The sequence below is a fragment of the Homo sapiens genome, chromosome 4 (assembly GCF_000001405.40).
Source record: "Homo sapiens chromosome 4, GRCh38.p14 Primary Assembly".
NCBI lineage: Eukaryota > Metazoa > Chordata > Mammalia > Primates > Hominidae > Homo > Homo sapiens.
In genome coordinates, this window is record NC_000004.12 from 159,524,933 (window position 1) to 159,539,294 (window position 14,362).

Consider the following 14,362-nt stretch of genomic DNA (forward strand, 5'->3'; position numbering starts at 1 on the left):
AAGATTCTGCCTTGGGATCCTGTTGATCTGTGACCTTAACCCCCAACCCTGTGCTCTCTGAAACATGTGCTGTGTCCACTCAGGGTTAAATGGATTAAGGGCGGTGCAAGATGTGCTTTGTTAAACAGATGCTTGAAGGCATCATGCTCGTTAAGAGTCATCACCACTCCCTAATCTCAAGTACCCAGGGACACAAACACTGCGGAAGGCCGCAGGGTCCTCTGCCTAGGAAAACCAGAGACCTTTGTTCACTTGTTTATCTGCTGACCTTCCCTCCACTATTGTCCTATGACCCTGCCAAATCCCTCTCTGTGAGAAACACCCAAGAATGATCAATAAAAATAAAATTAAAAAAAAAAAAACAAAAAAAAAACCAAACAAACAAAAAAAAGAAAATGCAAGATGACTTGTACAATTTTTTTGTTATCAAATAAAATATTCAACAGATAAGAAAAATAAACGTATATATTAATTGAAAGAATTATGTGTCTAATTTATTTTGCTAGTTGTGAGTTAATAGAATACATGATGTTGGATTCTCTGTATTTCTAAAACAGAAGATGATTATCGCAGACCTGGGTGAAACAAATGGGAACCTGGGTAAAGAGGCTAAACAATTATTTTTCTCAAAATAGGAATACAAAACCCCTACAAGTAAACATGTACATTTTTTCAGTATTCACTTAGTGTAGCCAAATGTCTAATTGCATGTCTGCCTTTTCCATTTGTAATATTCCAGGATTCCAGGCAGGTGGCATGCTAGATGATGTTTATCATAATTATGCTGCATCTTACCATCTGAATAGGAAAACTATTGAATATTGCACATAAATCTTTCAATGTAATAAAATTGCATATCAGGACATACATAGAAAGGTAAAGAAGATGTGAGCATAGCATTAGATAGATTACTAATAGTGACAATATAATTTCTTGAAATATTAACAGTGTTGTTCCTTTTCGTCTACCCTTAGACTCCGAACAAGAGTAGAGTAGATGTTCAGAGCCGGGCGCAGTGGCTCACACCTGTAATTCCAGCACTTGGGGAGGCCGAGGCAGGCGGATCACGAGGACAGGAGATCAAGACTATCCCCACTAACACGGTGAAACCCTGTCTCTACTAAAAATACAAAAAAATTAGCTGGGTGTGGTAGCAGGTGCCTGTAATCCCAGCTTCTCGGGAGGCTGAGGCAGGAGAATCACTTGAACCCGGGAGGCAGAGGTTACAGTGAGCCGAGATGGTGCCACTGTACTTCAGCCTGGGCGACTGAGTGAGACTCTGTCTCAAAATAAATGAATGAATGAATGACTTGTGATCAACAGGAAGCATAATACACCGAGTATGTGGGCTCGTCTGTCCACCTCAGACTCCGTGGGAGGTGGTGGATTTAATGAAATGCTGTTTCCTGTTATGCAAGAGTATTTGGTAATTTAATATTGACTCTATTGGTACAGAAAGTGCTGTGAGGTCTGACACTGGTGATCGCAGAACTGTATTCACCTGAACCAGTTCCCATATTTTACAAGTGAGAAAATGGAGGCGCAGAGAAAATGATTTGCCCAAATAAGACAGCCAGTTAGTAGAAGAGTCAGGAACAGAATCCAGGTCTTCTGACTCTCAATCTTGTATTCTTTCTACTTTATTATAGTGAAATGGATTTTTTCTCTTTTGTACTTTTTCTTTCCCTTTGTGCAGGTCATTATATGCTGATGTTTCAAGCAGAGGAATTGAATTTTTCATTATAATTTTAATAAGGTGCCACGAAACTGAAATTCACATTTGAATTCCAATTTCCTTTCTTAAACCATAAAATGTGCTGAATAGTAAAGACAAATCTAACCACATAAGTTACCGTTGTGTCTGGGCTTCCCAATTTTAATGGTCATGTACATGTTACTATAAATCAAAACACCTCTCTTACTGTACTCTTTTAAGGTTTATGATTCTATATACAGCTAATTATCAGCCCTGCCAATATTTTGACTAATTTTGTTTTCTTCTGGTTTCAATACTTCTAGTTGAGGCCTTGAAAATCTCTCTGGATTCCTTGAAGATGAGCAAAACATTTGTCAGGAAGACTGAATATGTTGAGAGAGAGAGAGAGAGAGAGAGAGTGTGTGTGTGTGTGTGTGTGTGTATCTTTAAAATTTTTTTAAATTTTATTTTTAATTGACACATAATTGTTATTTATGGAGGTACAATATGATGTTTTGATCTATGAATACGTTACAGAAAGATTCAGTCAAGTTAATTAACATATCCATCAGCTCACCAATTTACCCTTTTTTGTGGTGGGAACATTAAAAATTCTTTTAGCAGTTTTATAATATATGATACATTATTATTAACTGTGGTCACCATGCAGTTCAATAGATCATTAAAACTTATTTCTCCAGTCTAACTAAAGCTTTGTACCCTTTGATCAACATTTTCCCTTTCCCTATCCTTTTCCTCTTCCTAGTGTCTGGTAACCACCTTTCTAATCTCTGTTTCTATGAGATCAACTTTTTTAGATTCCACATTAAGAGTGGGATCATAATATTTGTCTTTCTATGTCTGACTTACATCACTTAGCATAATGTTCTCCAGTTCCATCTATGTTGTTGTGAGTGACAGAATCTCCTTTTTTAAAGGCTGAATAGTATTCCATTGTGTATATATGTACCACATTTTCTTTATCCATTCATCTGTTGATGAGCAATTAGGTTGCTTCCATATTTTGCCTATTGTGAATGATGCTAAAATAAACCAGGGAGTGCAGATATCTCTTTGACATATTGATTTCAATTCCTTTAAATATATACCCAGAAGTGTGTATATATTTTTAGTTTTTTGAGGAACCTCTATACTATTTTCCAAAAAGGCTGTACTAATTTACACTTCCACCAATAGTTAATAAGGATTCCCTTTTATCCATATCCTTGCCAACATTTGCTATTATTCTTTGATAATAGTAATTCTAACAGGTGTGAGATTATATCTCATTGTGGTTTTAATTAACATTTCTCTGATGTTTAGAAATGTTGGGTTTTTTTCATATATATCTGTTGGCCATTAGTATTTCTTAAGAAATGTCTATTTAGATCCTTTGCCCAGTTTTTTTTATTATACTTTAAGTTCTAGGGTACATGTGCACAACGTGCAGGTTTGTTACATATGTATACATGTGCCTTGTTGGTGTGCTGCACCCATTAACTCATCCTTTACATTAGGCATTTCTCCTAATGCTATCCCTCCCCCCTCCCCCCACCCCACAACAGGCCCCGGTGTGTGATGTTCCCCAACCTATGTCCACATGTTCTCATTGTTCACTTCTCACCTATGGGTGAGAACATGCAGTGTTTGGTTTTCTGTCCTCGCGATAGTTTGCTCAGAATGATGGTTTCCAGCTTCATCCATGTCCCTACAAAGGACATGAACTCATTTTTTATGGCTGCATAGTATTCCGTGGTGTATATGTGCCACATTTTCTTAATCCAGTCTATCACTGATGGACATTTGGGTTTGTTCCAAGTCTTTGCTATTGTGAATAGTGCCACAATAAACATACGTGTGCATGTGTCTTTATAGCAGCATGATTTATAATCCTTTGGGTATATACCCAGTAATGGGATGGCTGGGTCAAATGGTATTTCTAGTTCTAGATCCTTGAGGAATTGCCACCCTGTCTTCCACAATGGTTGAACTAGTTTACAGTCCCACCAACAGCATAAAAGTGTTCCTATTTCTCCACATCCTCTCCAGCACCTGTTGTTTCCTGACTTTTCAATGATCACCATTCTAACTGGTGTGAGATGGTATCTCATTGTGGTTTTGATTTGCATTTGTTTGATGGCCGGTGATGATGAGCATTTTTTCATGTGTCTTTTGGCTGCATAAATGTCTTCTTTTGAGAAGTGTCTGTTCATATCCTTTGCCCACTTTTTGATGGGGTTGTTCGATTTTTTCTTGTAAATTTGTTTAAGTTCTTTGTAGATTCTGGATATTAGCCTTATGTCAGATGGGTAGATTGCAAAAATTTTCTCCCATTCTGTAGGATGCCTGTTCACTCTGACGGTAGTTTCTTTTGATGTGCAGAAGCTTTTTAGTTTAATTAGATCCCATTTGTCAATTGTGGCTTTTGTTGCCATTGCTTTTGGTGTTTTAGTCATGAAGTCCTTGCACATGCTTATGTCCTGAATGGTATTGCCTAGGTTTTCTTCTAGGGTTTTTATGGTTTTAGGCCTACCATTTAAGTCTTTAATCCATCTTGAATTAATTTTTGTATAAGGTGTAAGGAAGGGATCCAGTTTCAGCTTTCTACATATGGCTAGCCAGTTTTGCCAGCACCATTTATTAAATAGGGAATCCTTTCCCCATTTCTTGTTTTTGTCAGGTTTGTCAAAGATCAGATGGTTGTAGATGTGTGGTATTATTTCTGAGGCCTCTGGTCTGTTCCATTGGTCTATATCTCTGTTTTGGTACCAATACCATGCTGTTTTGGTTATTACATCCTTGTAGTATAGTTTGAAGTCAGGTAGCATGATGCCTCCAGCTTTGTTCTTTTTGCTTAGGATTGTCTTGGCAATACAGGCTCTTTTTTGGTTCCATATGAACTTTAAAGTAGTTTTTTCCAATTCTGTGAAGAAAGTCCTTGGCAGCTTGATGGGGATGGCATTGAATCTATTAATTACCTTGGGCAGTATGGCCATTTTCATGATATTGATTCTTCCTACCCATGAGCATGGAATGTTCTTCCATTTGTTTGTGTCCTCTTTTATTTTGTTGAGCAGTGGTTTGTATTTCTCCTTGAAGAGGGCCTTCCCATCCCTTGTAAGTTGGATTCCTAGGTATTTTATTCTCTTTGAAGCAATTGTGAATGGGAGTTCACTCACGATTTGGCTCTCTGTTTGTCTGTTATTGTTGTATAGAAATGCTTGTGATTTTTGCACATTAATTTTGTATCCTGAGACTTTTCTGAAGTTGCTTATCAGCTTAAGGAGATTTTGGGCTGAGACAATGGGGTTTTCTAGATATATAATCATGTCATCTGCAAACAGGGACAATTTGACTTCCTCTTTTCCTAATTGAATACCCTTTATTTCCTTCTCCTGCCTAATTGCCCTGGCCAGAACTTCCAACACTATATTGAGTAGGAGTGGTGAGAGAGGGCATCCCTGTCTTGTGCCAGTTTTCAAAGGGAATGCTTCCAGTTTTTGCCCATTCAGCATGATACTGACAGTGGGTTTTTCATAAATAGTTTTTATTATTTTGAGATACATCCCATCAATACCTAGTTTATTGAGAGTTTTTAGCATGAAGTGTTGTTGAATTTGTCAAAGGCCTTTTCTGCATCTATTGAGATAATCATGTGGTTTTTGTCTTTGGTTCTGTTTATATGATGGATTACGTTTATTGATTTGTGTATGTTGAACCAGCCTTGCATCCCAGGGATGAAGCCCAGTTGATCATGTTGGATAAGCTTTTTGATGTGCTGCTGGATTCGGTTTGTCAGTATTTTATTGAGGATTTTTGCATCGATGTTCATCAGGGATATTGGTCTAAAATTCTCTTTTTTGTGTGTGTGTCTCTGCCAGGCTTTGGTATAAGGATGATGCTGGCCTCATAAAATGAGTTAGGGAGGATTCCCTATTTTTCTATTGATTGCCATAGTTTCAAAAGGAATGGTACCATCTCTTCTTTGTACCTCTGGTAGAATTCGACTGTGAATCTGTCTGGTCCTGGACTTTTCTTGCTTGGTAGGCTATTAATTATTGCCTCAATTTCAGAGCCTGTTATTGGTCTATTCAGGGATTCAACTTCTTCCTGGTTTAGTCTTGGGAGGGTGCATGTGTTCAGGAATTTATCCATTTCTTCTAGATTTTCTAGTTTATTTGAGTAGAGGTGTTTATAGTATTCTCTGATGGTAGTTTGTATTTCTGCGGGATCGGTGGTGATATCCCCTTTATCATTTTTTATTGTGTCTATTTGATTCTTCTGTCTTTTCTTCTTTATTAGTCTTGCTAGCGGTCTATCAATTTTGTTGATCTTTTCAAAAAAAAAAAAAAAACAAGCTCCTGGATTCATTGATTTTTTTCCTGAAGGGTTTTTTGTGTCTCTATTTCCTTTAGTTCTGCTCTGATCTTAGTTATTTCTTGACTTCTGCTAGCTTTTGAATGCATTTGCTCTTGCTTCTCTAGTTCTTTTAATTGTGATGTTAGGGTGTCGAATTTAGATCTTTCCTGCTTTCTTTGGTGGGCATTTAGTGCGATAAATTTCCCTCTACCCACTGCTTTAAATGTGTCTCAGAGATTCTGGTACGTTGTGCCTTTGTTCTCATTGGTTTCAAAGAACATCTTTATTTCTGCCTTCATTTCGCTATTTACCCAGTAGTCATTCAGGAGCGGATTGTTCAGTTTCCATGTAGTTGTGTGATTTTGAGTGAGTTTCTTAATCCTGAGATCTAATTTGATTGCACTGTGATCTGAGAGACTGTTATATTTTCTGTTCTTTTACATTTGCTGTGGAGCGCTTTACTTCCAACTATGTGGTCAGTTATGGAATAAGTGTGATGTGATGTTGAGACGAATGTATATTCTGTTGATTTGGGGTGGAGAGTTCTGTAGATGTCTATTAGGTCTGCTTGGTGCAGAGCTGAGTTCAAGTCCTGGATATCCTTGTTAACCATCTGTCTCATTGATCTGTCTAATGTTGACAGTGGGGTGTTAAAGTCTCCCATTATTATTGTGTGGGAGTCTAAGTCTCTTTGCAGGTCTCTAAGGACTTGCTTTATGAATCTGGCTGCTTCTGTATTGGGTGCATATATATTTAGGATAGTTAGCTCTTCTTGTTGAATTGATCCCTTTTCCATTATGTAATGGCCTTCTTTGTCTCTTTTGATCTTTGTTGATTTAAAGTCTGTTTTATCAGAGACTAGGACTGCAACCCCTGCTTTTTTTTGTTTTTCCATTTGCTTGGTATATCTTCCTCCATCCCTTTATTTTGAGCCTATGTGTATCTCTGCATGTGAGATGGGTCTCCTGAATACAGCACACTGATGGGTCTTGACTCTTTAGCCAATTTGCCAGTCTGTGTCTTTTAACTGGGGCATTTAGACCATTTACATTTAAGGTTAGTATTGTTATGTGTGAATTCGATCCTGTCATTGTGATGTTAGCTGGTTATTTTGCTCATTAGTTGATGCAGTTTCTTCCTAGCCTTGATGGTCTTTACAGTTTGGCAGGTTTTTGCAGTGGCTGGTACCGGTTGTTCCTTTCCATGTTTAGTGCTTCCTTTAGGAGCTCTAGTAAGGCAGGCCTGGTGGTGACAAAATCTCTCAACATTTGCTTGTCTGTAAAGGATTTTATTTCTCCTTCACTTATAAAGCTTAGTTTGGCTGGATAGGAAATTCTGGGTTAACAATTCTTTTCTTTAAGAATGTTGAATGTTAGCCCCCACTCTCTTCTGGCTTGTAGAGTTTCTGCTGAGAGATTTGCTGTTAGTCTGATGGGCTTCCCTTTGTGGGTAACCCGACCTTTCTCTCTGGCTGCCCTTAACATTTTTTCTTTCATTTCAACCTTCGTATATCTGACAATTATGTGTCTTGGGGTTGCTTTTCTTGAGGAGTATCTTTGTGGCATTCTCTGTATTTCCTGAATTTGAATGTTGGCCTGCCTTGCTAGGTTGAGGACGTTCTCCTTGATAATATCCTTAAGAGTGTTTTCCAAGTTGGTTCCATTCTCCCTGTCACTTTCAGGTGCACCAATCAGATGTAGATTTGGTCTTTTAACATAGTCCCATATTTCTTGGAGGCTTTGTTCGTTTCTTTTTACTCTTTTTTCTCTAAACTTCTCTTCTCGCTTCATTTCATTCATTTGATCTTCAATCACTGATACCCTTTCTTCCATTTGATCGAATCGGCTACTGAAGCTTGTGCATGCGTCACGTAATTCTTGTGCCATGGTTTTCAGCTCCATCAAGTCACTTAAGGTGTTCTCTATGCTGTTTATTCTAGTTAGCCATTCGTCTAATTTTTTTCAACGTTTTTAGCTTCTTTGCGATGGGTTCGAACATCCTCCTTTAGCTCAGAGAAGTGAGTTATTACTGTTCTTCTGAAGCCTACTTCTGTCAGCTTGTCAAAGTCATTCTCCATCCAGCTTTGTTCTGTTGCTGGCGAGGAGCTGCGTTCCTTTGGAGGAGAAGAGGCGCTTTGATTTTTAGAATTTTCTACTTTTCTGCTCGGTTTCTCCCCATCTTTGTGGTTTTATCTACCTTTGGGCTTTGATGATGGTGACCTACAGATGGGCTTTTGGTGTGGATGTCTTTTTGTTGATGTTGATGCTATTCCTTTCTGTTTATTAGTTTTCCTTCTAACATTCAGGACCCTCAGCTGCAGGTCTGCTGGAGTTTGCTGGAGGTCCACTCCAGACCCTGTTTGCCTGGGTATCACCCGCAGAGGCTGCAGAACAGCAAATATTGCAGAACAGCAAATGTTGTTGCCTGATCCTTCCTCTGGAAGCTTCGTCTCAGAGGGGCACCTGGCTGTATGAGGTGTCAGTCAGCCCCTACTGTGAGATGTCTCCCAGTTAGGCTACTTGGGAGTCAGGGACCCACTTGAGGAGGCAGTCTGTCTGTTCTCAGATCTCAAACTCTGTGCTGGGAGAACCACTACTCTCTTCAAAGTTGTCAGACAGAGATGTTTAAGTTCCTGCTTCCTTTTGTTCAGCTATGCCCTGCGCCCCAGAGGTGGAGTCTACAGAGGCAGGCAGGCCTCCTTGAGCTGTGGTGGGCTCCGTCCAGTTCGAGCTTCCCGGCCACTTTGTTTACCTACTCAAGCCTCAGCAATGGCAGATGCCCCTTCCCCAGCCTTGCTGCCACCTTGCAGTTTGATCTGGGACTGCTGTGCTAGCAGTGAGCAAGGTTCCATGGGCATGGAACCCTCCGAGCCAGGCATGGGATATGATCTCCTGGTGTGCTGTTTGCTAAGACCATTGGAAAAGCACAGTATTAGGGTGGAAGTATCCCAATTTTCCAGGTACCACCTGCCACGGCTTCCCTTGGCTAGGAAAGGGAATTCCCCAACCTCTTGCACTTCCCAGGTGAGGCGATGCCCCACCCTGCTTTGGCTCACACTCCGTGGGCTGCACCCACTCTCCCACAAGTCCCAGTGAGGTGAATCTGTTACCTCAGTTGGAAATGCAGAAATCACCTGTCTTCTGTATCGCTCATGCTGGGAGCCGTAGACTGGATTTGTTCCTATCCTATGCCTATTTTTAAATTTGGTTATTTGTTTTATTGCTATTGAGTTGTTTGAGTTCCTTATATATTTTGAATATTAGCCCCTTATCAGATGTATGGTTTACAAATATTTTCCCCAACCCATGAATTGCCTCTCCATTCTGTTAATTGTTTCCTTTGTTGTGCAGAAGCTTTTTAGTTTGATATAGTCCCATGTGTCTATTTCTGCTTTTGTTGCCTGTGCTTTTAGAGTCCTATCCAAGTAATTATTGCCCAGTCTTACAACATGGAGATGTTGTCGTATGTTTTCTTCCAGGAAACTTTACAGTTTCAGATCTTACATTTAAGTATTTTGTTCATTTTGAGCTGATTTTGTATATGTTATGAGGGTTCAATTTCATTCTTCTTCATGTGGATATTCAGTGTTTCTAATACTATTTATTAGAGACTTTTTCCTTTCCTCATTGTGTGATCTTGATACCTTTGCCAAAATTTGACTGACCATAAATATATGGATTTTTTTTGGGCTGTCTTTCTGTTTCATTCTTCTTAAATTTGTTGAGACTTGTTTTGTGGACTAACATATTATCTATTCTGGAGAATGTTTTCTGTGGACTTGAGAGGAATGTGTATTTGGCTGCCGTTGGATGAAATGTTCTGTAAATATCTGTTAGGTTCATTTGGTCTAAAGTGTTGTTGAAATACAGTGTTTCCTTATTGATTTTCTGTCTGGATGCTCTGTCCATTGTTGAAAGTGGGGTATTGAAGTCTCCTCCTATTATTGATTGCAGTCTTTCTCTCCTTTCATATCTATTAATATTTGCTTTATATATTTAGGTGTTCCAATGTTAGTGAATGTATGCTTACAATTCTTATGTCTGCTTGGTATATTGACCCCTTTATCATTATATAATGACCTTTTTGTCTCTTTTTATAGCTTTCAACTTCAAGTCTATCTTTTCTAAGTATAGCTCTCCTCATTCTCTTTTAGTTTCCATTTGCAAAGAATATCTTTGTTCTTCCTTTCATTTTTAGTCTATGTGTGTGCTTAGAGGTGAACCGAGTCTCTCATAGGCAGTATATAGTTAGGATATATTTAGGTTTTGTTCCATTTAGCCACTTGCTGTCTTTGGATTGAAAAATTTAATCCATCCAGTAATTATTGATAACTTAGATCTTACTATTGCCATTTTGTTAATTGTCTTCTGGTTAGTTTGTAGACCCTTTGTTCATCTCTTCCTCTCTTGCTGTCTTCTATTGTGATTTGATGATTTTCTGTGGTAGTATGCCTTGAATCCTTTCTTTCAATCTTTTGTGTATCCACTAAGAATTTTTGCTTTTTAAGCTGATAATGACTTAACTTTATCACTTATGCAAATGCTACAATTTTACTTGCCTTCAGTTTGTTTCTGTTGACACTTTAAAAAAATCTTTTATAGTTTTTATCCCTGAAATTTTTGTAGCTATAGTTGTTTTTAAGTTTTTTTCTTTTTACCTTCCTACTAGAAGTATATAATTGATTTTTATACCACCATTACAGTAAATGAGTATTCTGAGTTTGACTATATTCTTACTTTTACCAGTGAGTTTTATATTTTCACATATTTTTATGTTGCTATTTAGTTTGATGGACTCCTTTTATCATTTGTTGTAAGAGCAGTCTAGTGGTGATAAATTCCCTCAGCTTTAGTTTAAGAAAGTTTTGCTCTTCTCTTCGTTTTTTAAGGACAGGATTGAGGGGTATAGTATTCTTGGCTGGAAGTTTTTCTTCCTTGGCTGGAAGTTTTTCTTCCAGCCTTTTGAATATATCACCCTATTCCTTCTGTCCTGCAGGGTTTCTGCTGGAATACCCACTGATGATTTATAGGAGTCCCCTTGTATGTAACAAGTTGCTTTTCCCTTGAAGCTTTCCAATATTCTTTCTTTGTATTTAACTTTTGACAATTTGATTATACCACATTTCAGTATGGGTATGTTTGTATTTATCTGATTAGATGGCTGTTGAGCTTCCTGGATCTGGATTTTTGTTTTTTTTTTCCCAGACTTGGGAAGTTTTCTGCCATTATTTCTTTGAATATATTTTTATGTCCCTTTCTCTCTTCTTCTTCTGGTACACCAATAATGCATATGTTATTCCACTTAATAGTGTCACATAGGTCCCTTAGGTTATTGCCACTCAATTTTTTGTTCTTTTTCTTCTTACTCCTCAGATTGGATAATTTTTAATGACCTATCTTCAAGTTTACTAATTCCTTCTTCTACTTGATCTAGTATGCTATTGACTCTCTCTATTGAATTCTTGAGGTTAATTATTAGGTTATTCCGCTTGATGTTTGGTACTTTAAAATATTTTTTAATCTCTTTGTTGATGTGCTTAATTTGTTTATGCATTGCTTTCCTTACCTGAGTATCTTTATAAATGTCCTTTTGAATTCTCTGTCAAGTAACTAACATATCTTCATTTCTTTAGAGCTGGCTTCTGGAGATATATTTTGTTCTTTTATTTGGAACATATGTCTCTGTTTTCTTGTTTTGCTTGACTCTTCATGATGGTTTCTGTACATTGGATAAAAGAACCACCTTTACCATTCTTCTTAGACTGGTCTCATTTAGGAGACATTACTCTTCAATCAGCCTAACCAGGGATTCTAGATGCCTCTAAACTCTTTGTACTTGCCCTACCTGCTGTCTTTGTTCATAGTGGCCTCTAGGAAATTAAAGAGTGTCAAGCTGTTCTATTGTCTTTAGAGAGATGGAATAGAAACCAGTCCTTTGGGATGCAGATGGAGACATTTGGAATGTTAGATATGTGTTCTAGTTCCCTCTTTCTTTGCAGAGAAGCTGAGTGCCAGAGTTTATCTCCTACTTGTTCTGCCCTACACAAAGAAGTTCTGAGGTACATACCTATGCTCTTGATCAGACTACTCATTTTGGACCTGCGGAGATAGCTATTAAATATTTGCAAGTTTAAAAGTCACCTTTTTGTTCTCTGTGGCCTAAGAGACTCAGGAGTGCAGAACTCTGTCAACAACTACAGCTAGGTGATTTAGGAGCTAGTCCTTTGGATGAAAGCTGTAAGAGTTGAGCATGCAGAAACTATTTCCAAGGAGAGTCTTTGGATCTGGATGTATCACCAGAACAAGCCAGGGAAGAGGGTACAGGAAGTCCCACTCTCCTGTTTGAGAAAGCAAAGTCTCATAATCTTCCAGCAGGGGGAATCTTCTGGTCTGGAGTTAACACTGAAGCAAGTCAGGGAGAAAGGCACAAGGAGTGCCCACTTTCTCTTTCAGGCATGGAGTAGTCCTCCTGTCTCCCTCTAATGAGAGATTCAGGAATTTATCTCTGGAGTAAGCCAGGAAAGAAGGTACAGGGCCAGTGGAAGTGGGGAGGGGAATGTGCTTTCTCTTTCATACTTGCTGGAAGAGGCCTCCAACCTCTTTCCACAGAGAGAATGTAGGGCTGGAATTATTGCTGGAGCAAGCCCAGAAGAAGGTGTAGGGAGCTCATATATTTATTGCAGCACTATTCTTAATAGCAAATTCATGGAATCAACTTAAGTATTCATCATTGGTTGATTGGAGAAAGAAAACGTGGTACATATACACCATGGAATACTATGCAGCTATGAAAAATGAAATCATGTCCTTTGCAGCAACATGGATGCAGCTTGGAGGCCATTATCCTAAGTGAAATAACTCAGAAACAGAAAATCAAATCAATTATTACTTACTCATGTTCTCATTTAATAAATGGGAGCTAAATAATGAATACACATAGACATAAAGATGGAAATAACAGACACTGGGGACTCCAAAAGAAGGGAGGCTGGGAAGGAGTGAGGGTTGAAAAATTACTTATTGGATACAATGTTCACTATTTGGGTGACATGTTCACTAAAAGCCCAAACCTCATTGTTACACGACACATCCATGTGTAAACCTGCACATGTACTCTCTGAATCTAAAATAAAATAACAAAAAGTGAAGATGTAGGGAGTGTTCCCTTTCCCTTTAAGGAATGGAGATGTTCCCTATCCTCTCTCTAGTGAAAGATGGCAGAAATTTATTCTAGGAGAAAGCCAGGGAAGAAGTCATGGGGAGTATCTTCAAGTAAGCAGGAGTTTCACACCCTCTTTGCAGGAAGAGCCTTCTGATCTGGAGTTACCCCTAAATCAAGCCAAGGAAAGAGAGTGCTCCCTTTCTTTTGCAGGAGCAAGAAGGTTCCCAGGCCTCCTCTAATAAGAGACTGCAAAAATCTATCTCTGGAGCAAGCCAGGGAAGAAGGTCTAGGGGTGCTCACTCTTTTGTTCAAGCAAGAGGAATTTTTACATCTTCCATGCAGGGTGAGGCTTCTGGTCTGCTGTTATCACTGAAGCAAGTCAAGGAAGAAGGCACAGGGAGTGTCCTTTTTGTCTTTCAGGGACAAGGAAGATCCCCGGTCTCTCTCTAACGAGAGATTGCAAGAATTTCTCTCATAAGCAAGCCAGGGGAGAGGGTGTGTGTGTGTGTGTGCGTGCGTGTGTGTGCGCGTGTGTGTGTATCTTTCCCTTCAAAAAAACCCAAGGAATTTATTTTTTCTCCACAAAACTTCCAAAGTATTACTACTTTCTAAGTGCTGATTCTCCTGTGCTTAACTTGCTGGTTTCTCACACATAAAAGGCTGGGTAGAGTTGTCTTTGGCAGCTGCTGATATGGTTGGCATTCACTGGGATTAAGTGAAAAATCCATTGCCTACGAGATGACATTTTAAAAAAGGATATCCTAAACCAAATAAGGAACCACATGAAATCGATTTATTCTTTCTTAAAATTAGCTAGAGTCCCTGTAAGTTGCACTTTAATCTCAAAAAACACACTTGTAATGTTATCCATGAAGCGAATTTTAACATCTATATGGTATTTTAGATTTCTGAGAAAGTGATTTTTATCTGATTTGAATTTACTACATTGAGTGAAATACTGCTGTTTGGACAGTGTGCCAGTTTTCACATTTTCATATAAATTTTGCACTGAAACGGCAGCTCCTGTGCCTTCCTGCTGGCTGCCATCCTCTCACTTCTTACTGTCAGCTGTGTAAACCACTTTCTGCCTACATCCCCTGCTTTGTACAATCCTCTTACTAACCCAGGCGCAGCTCTGTTTCTTTC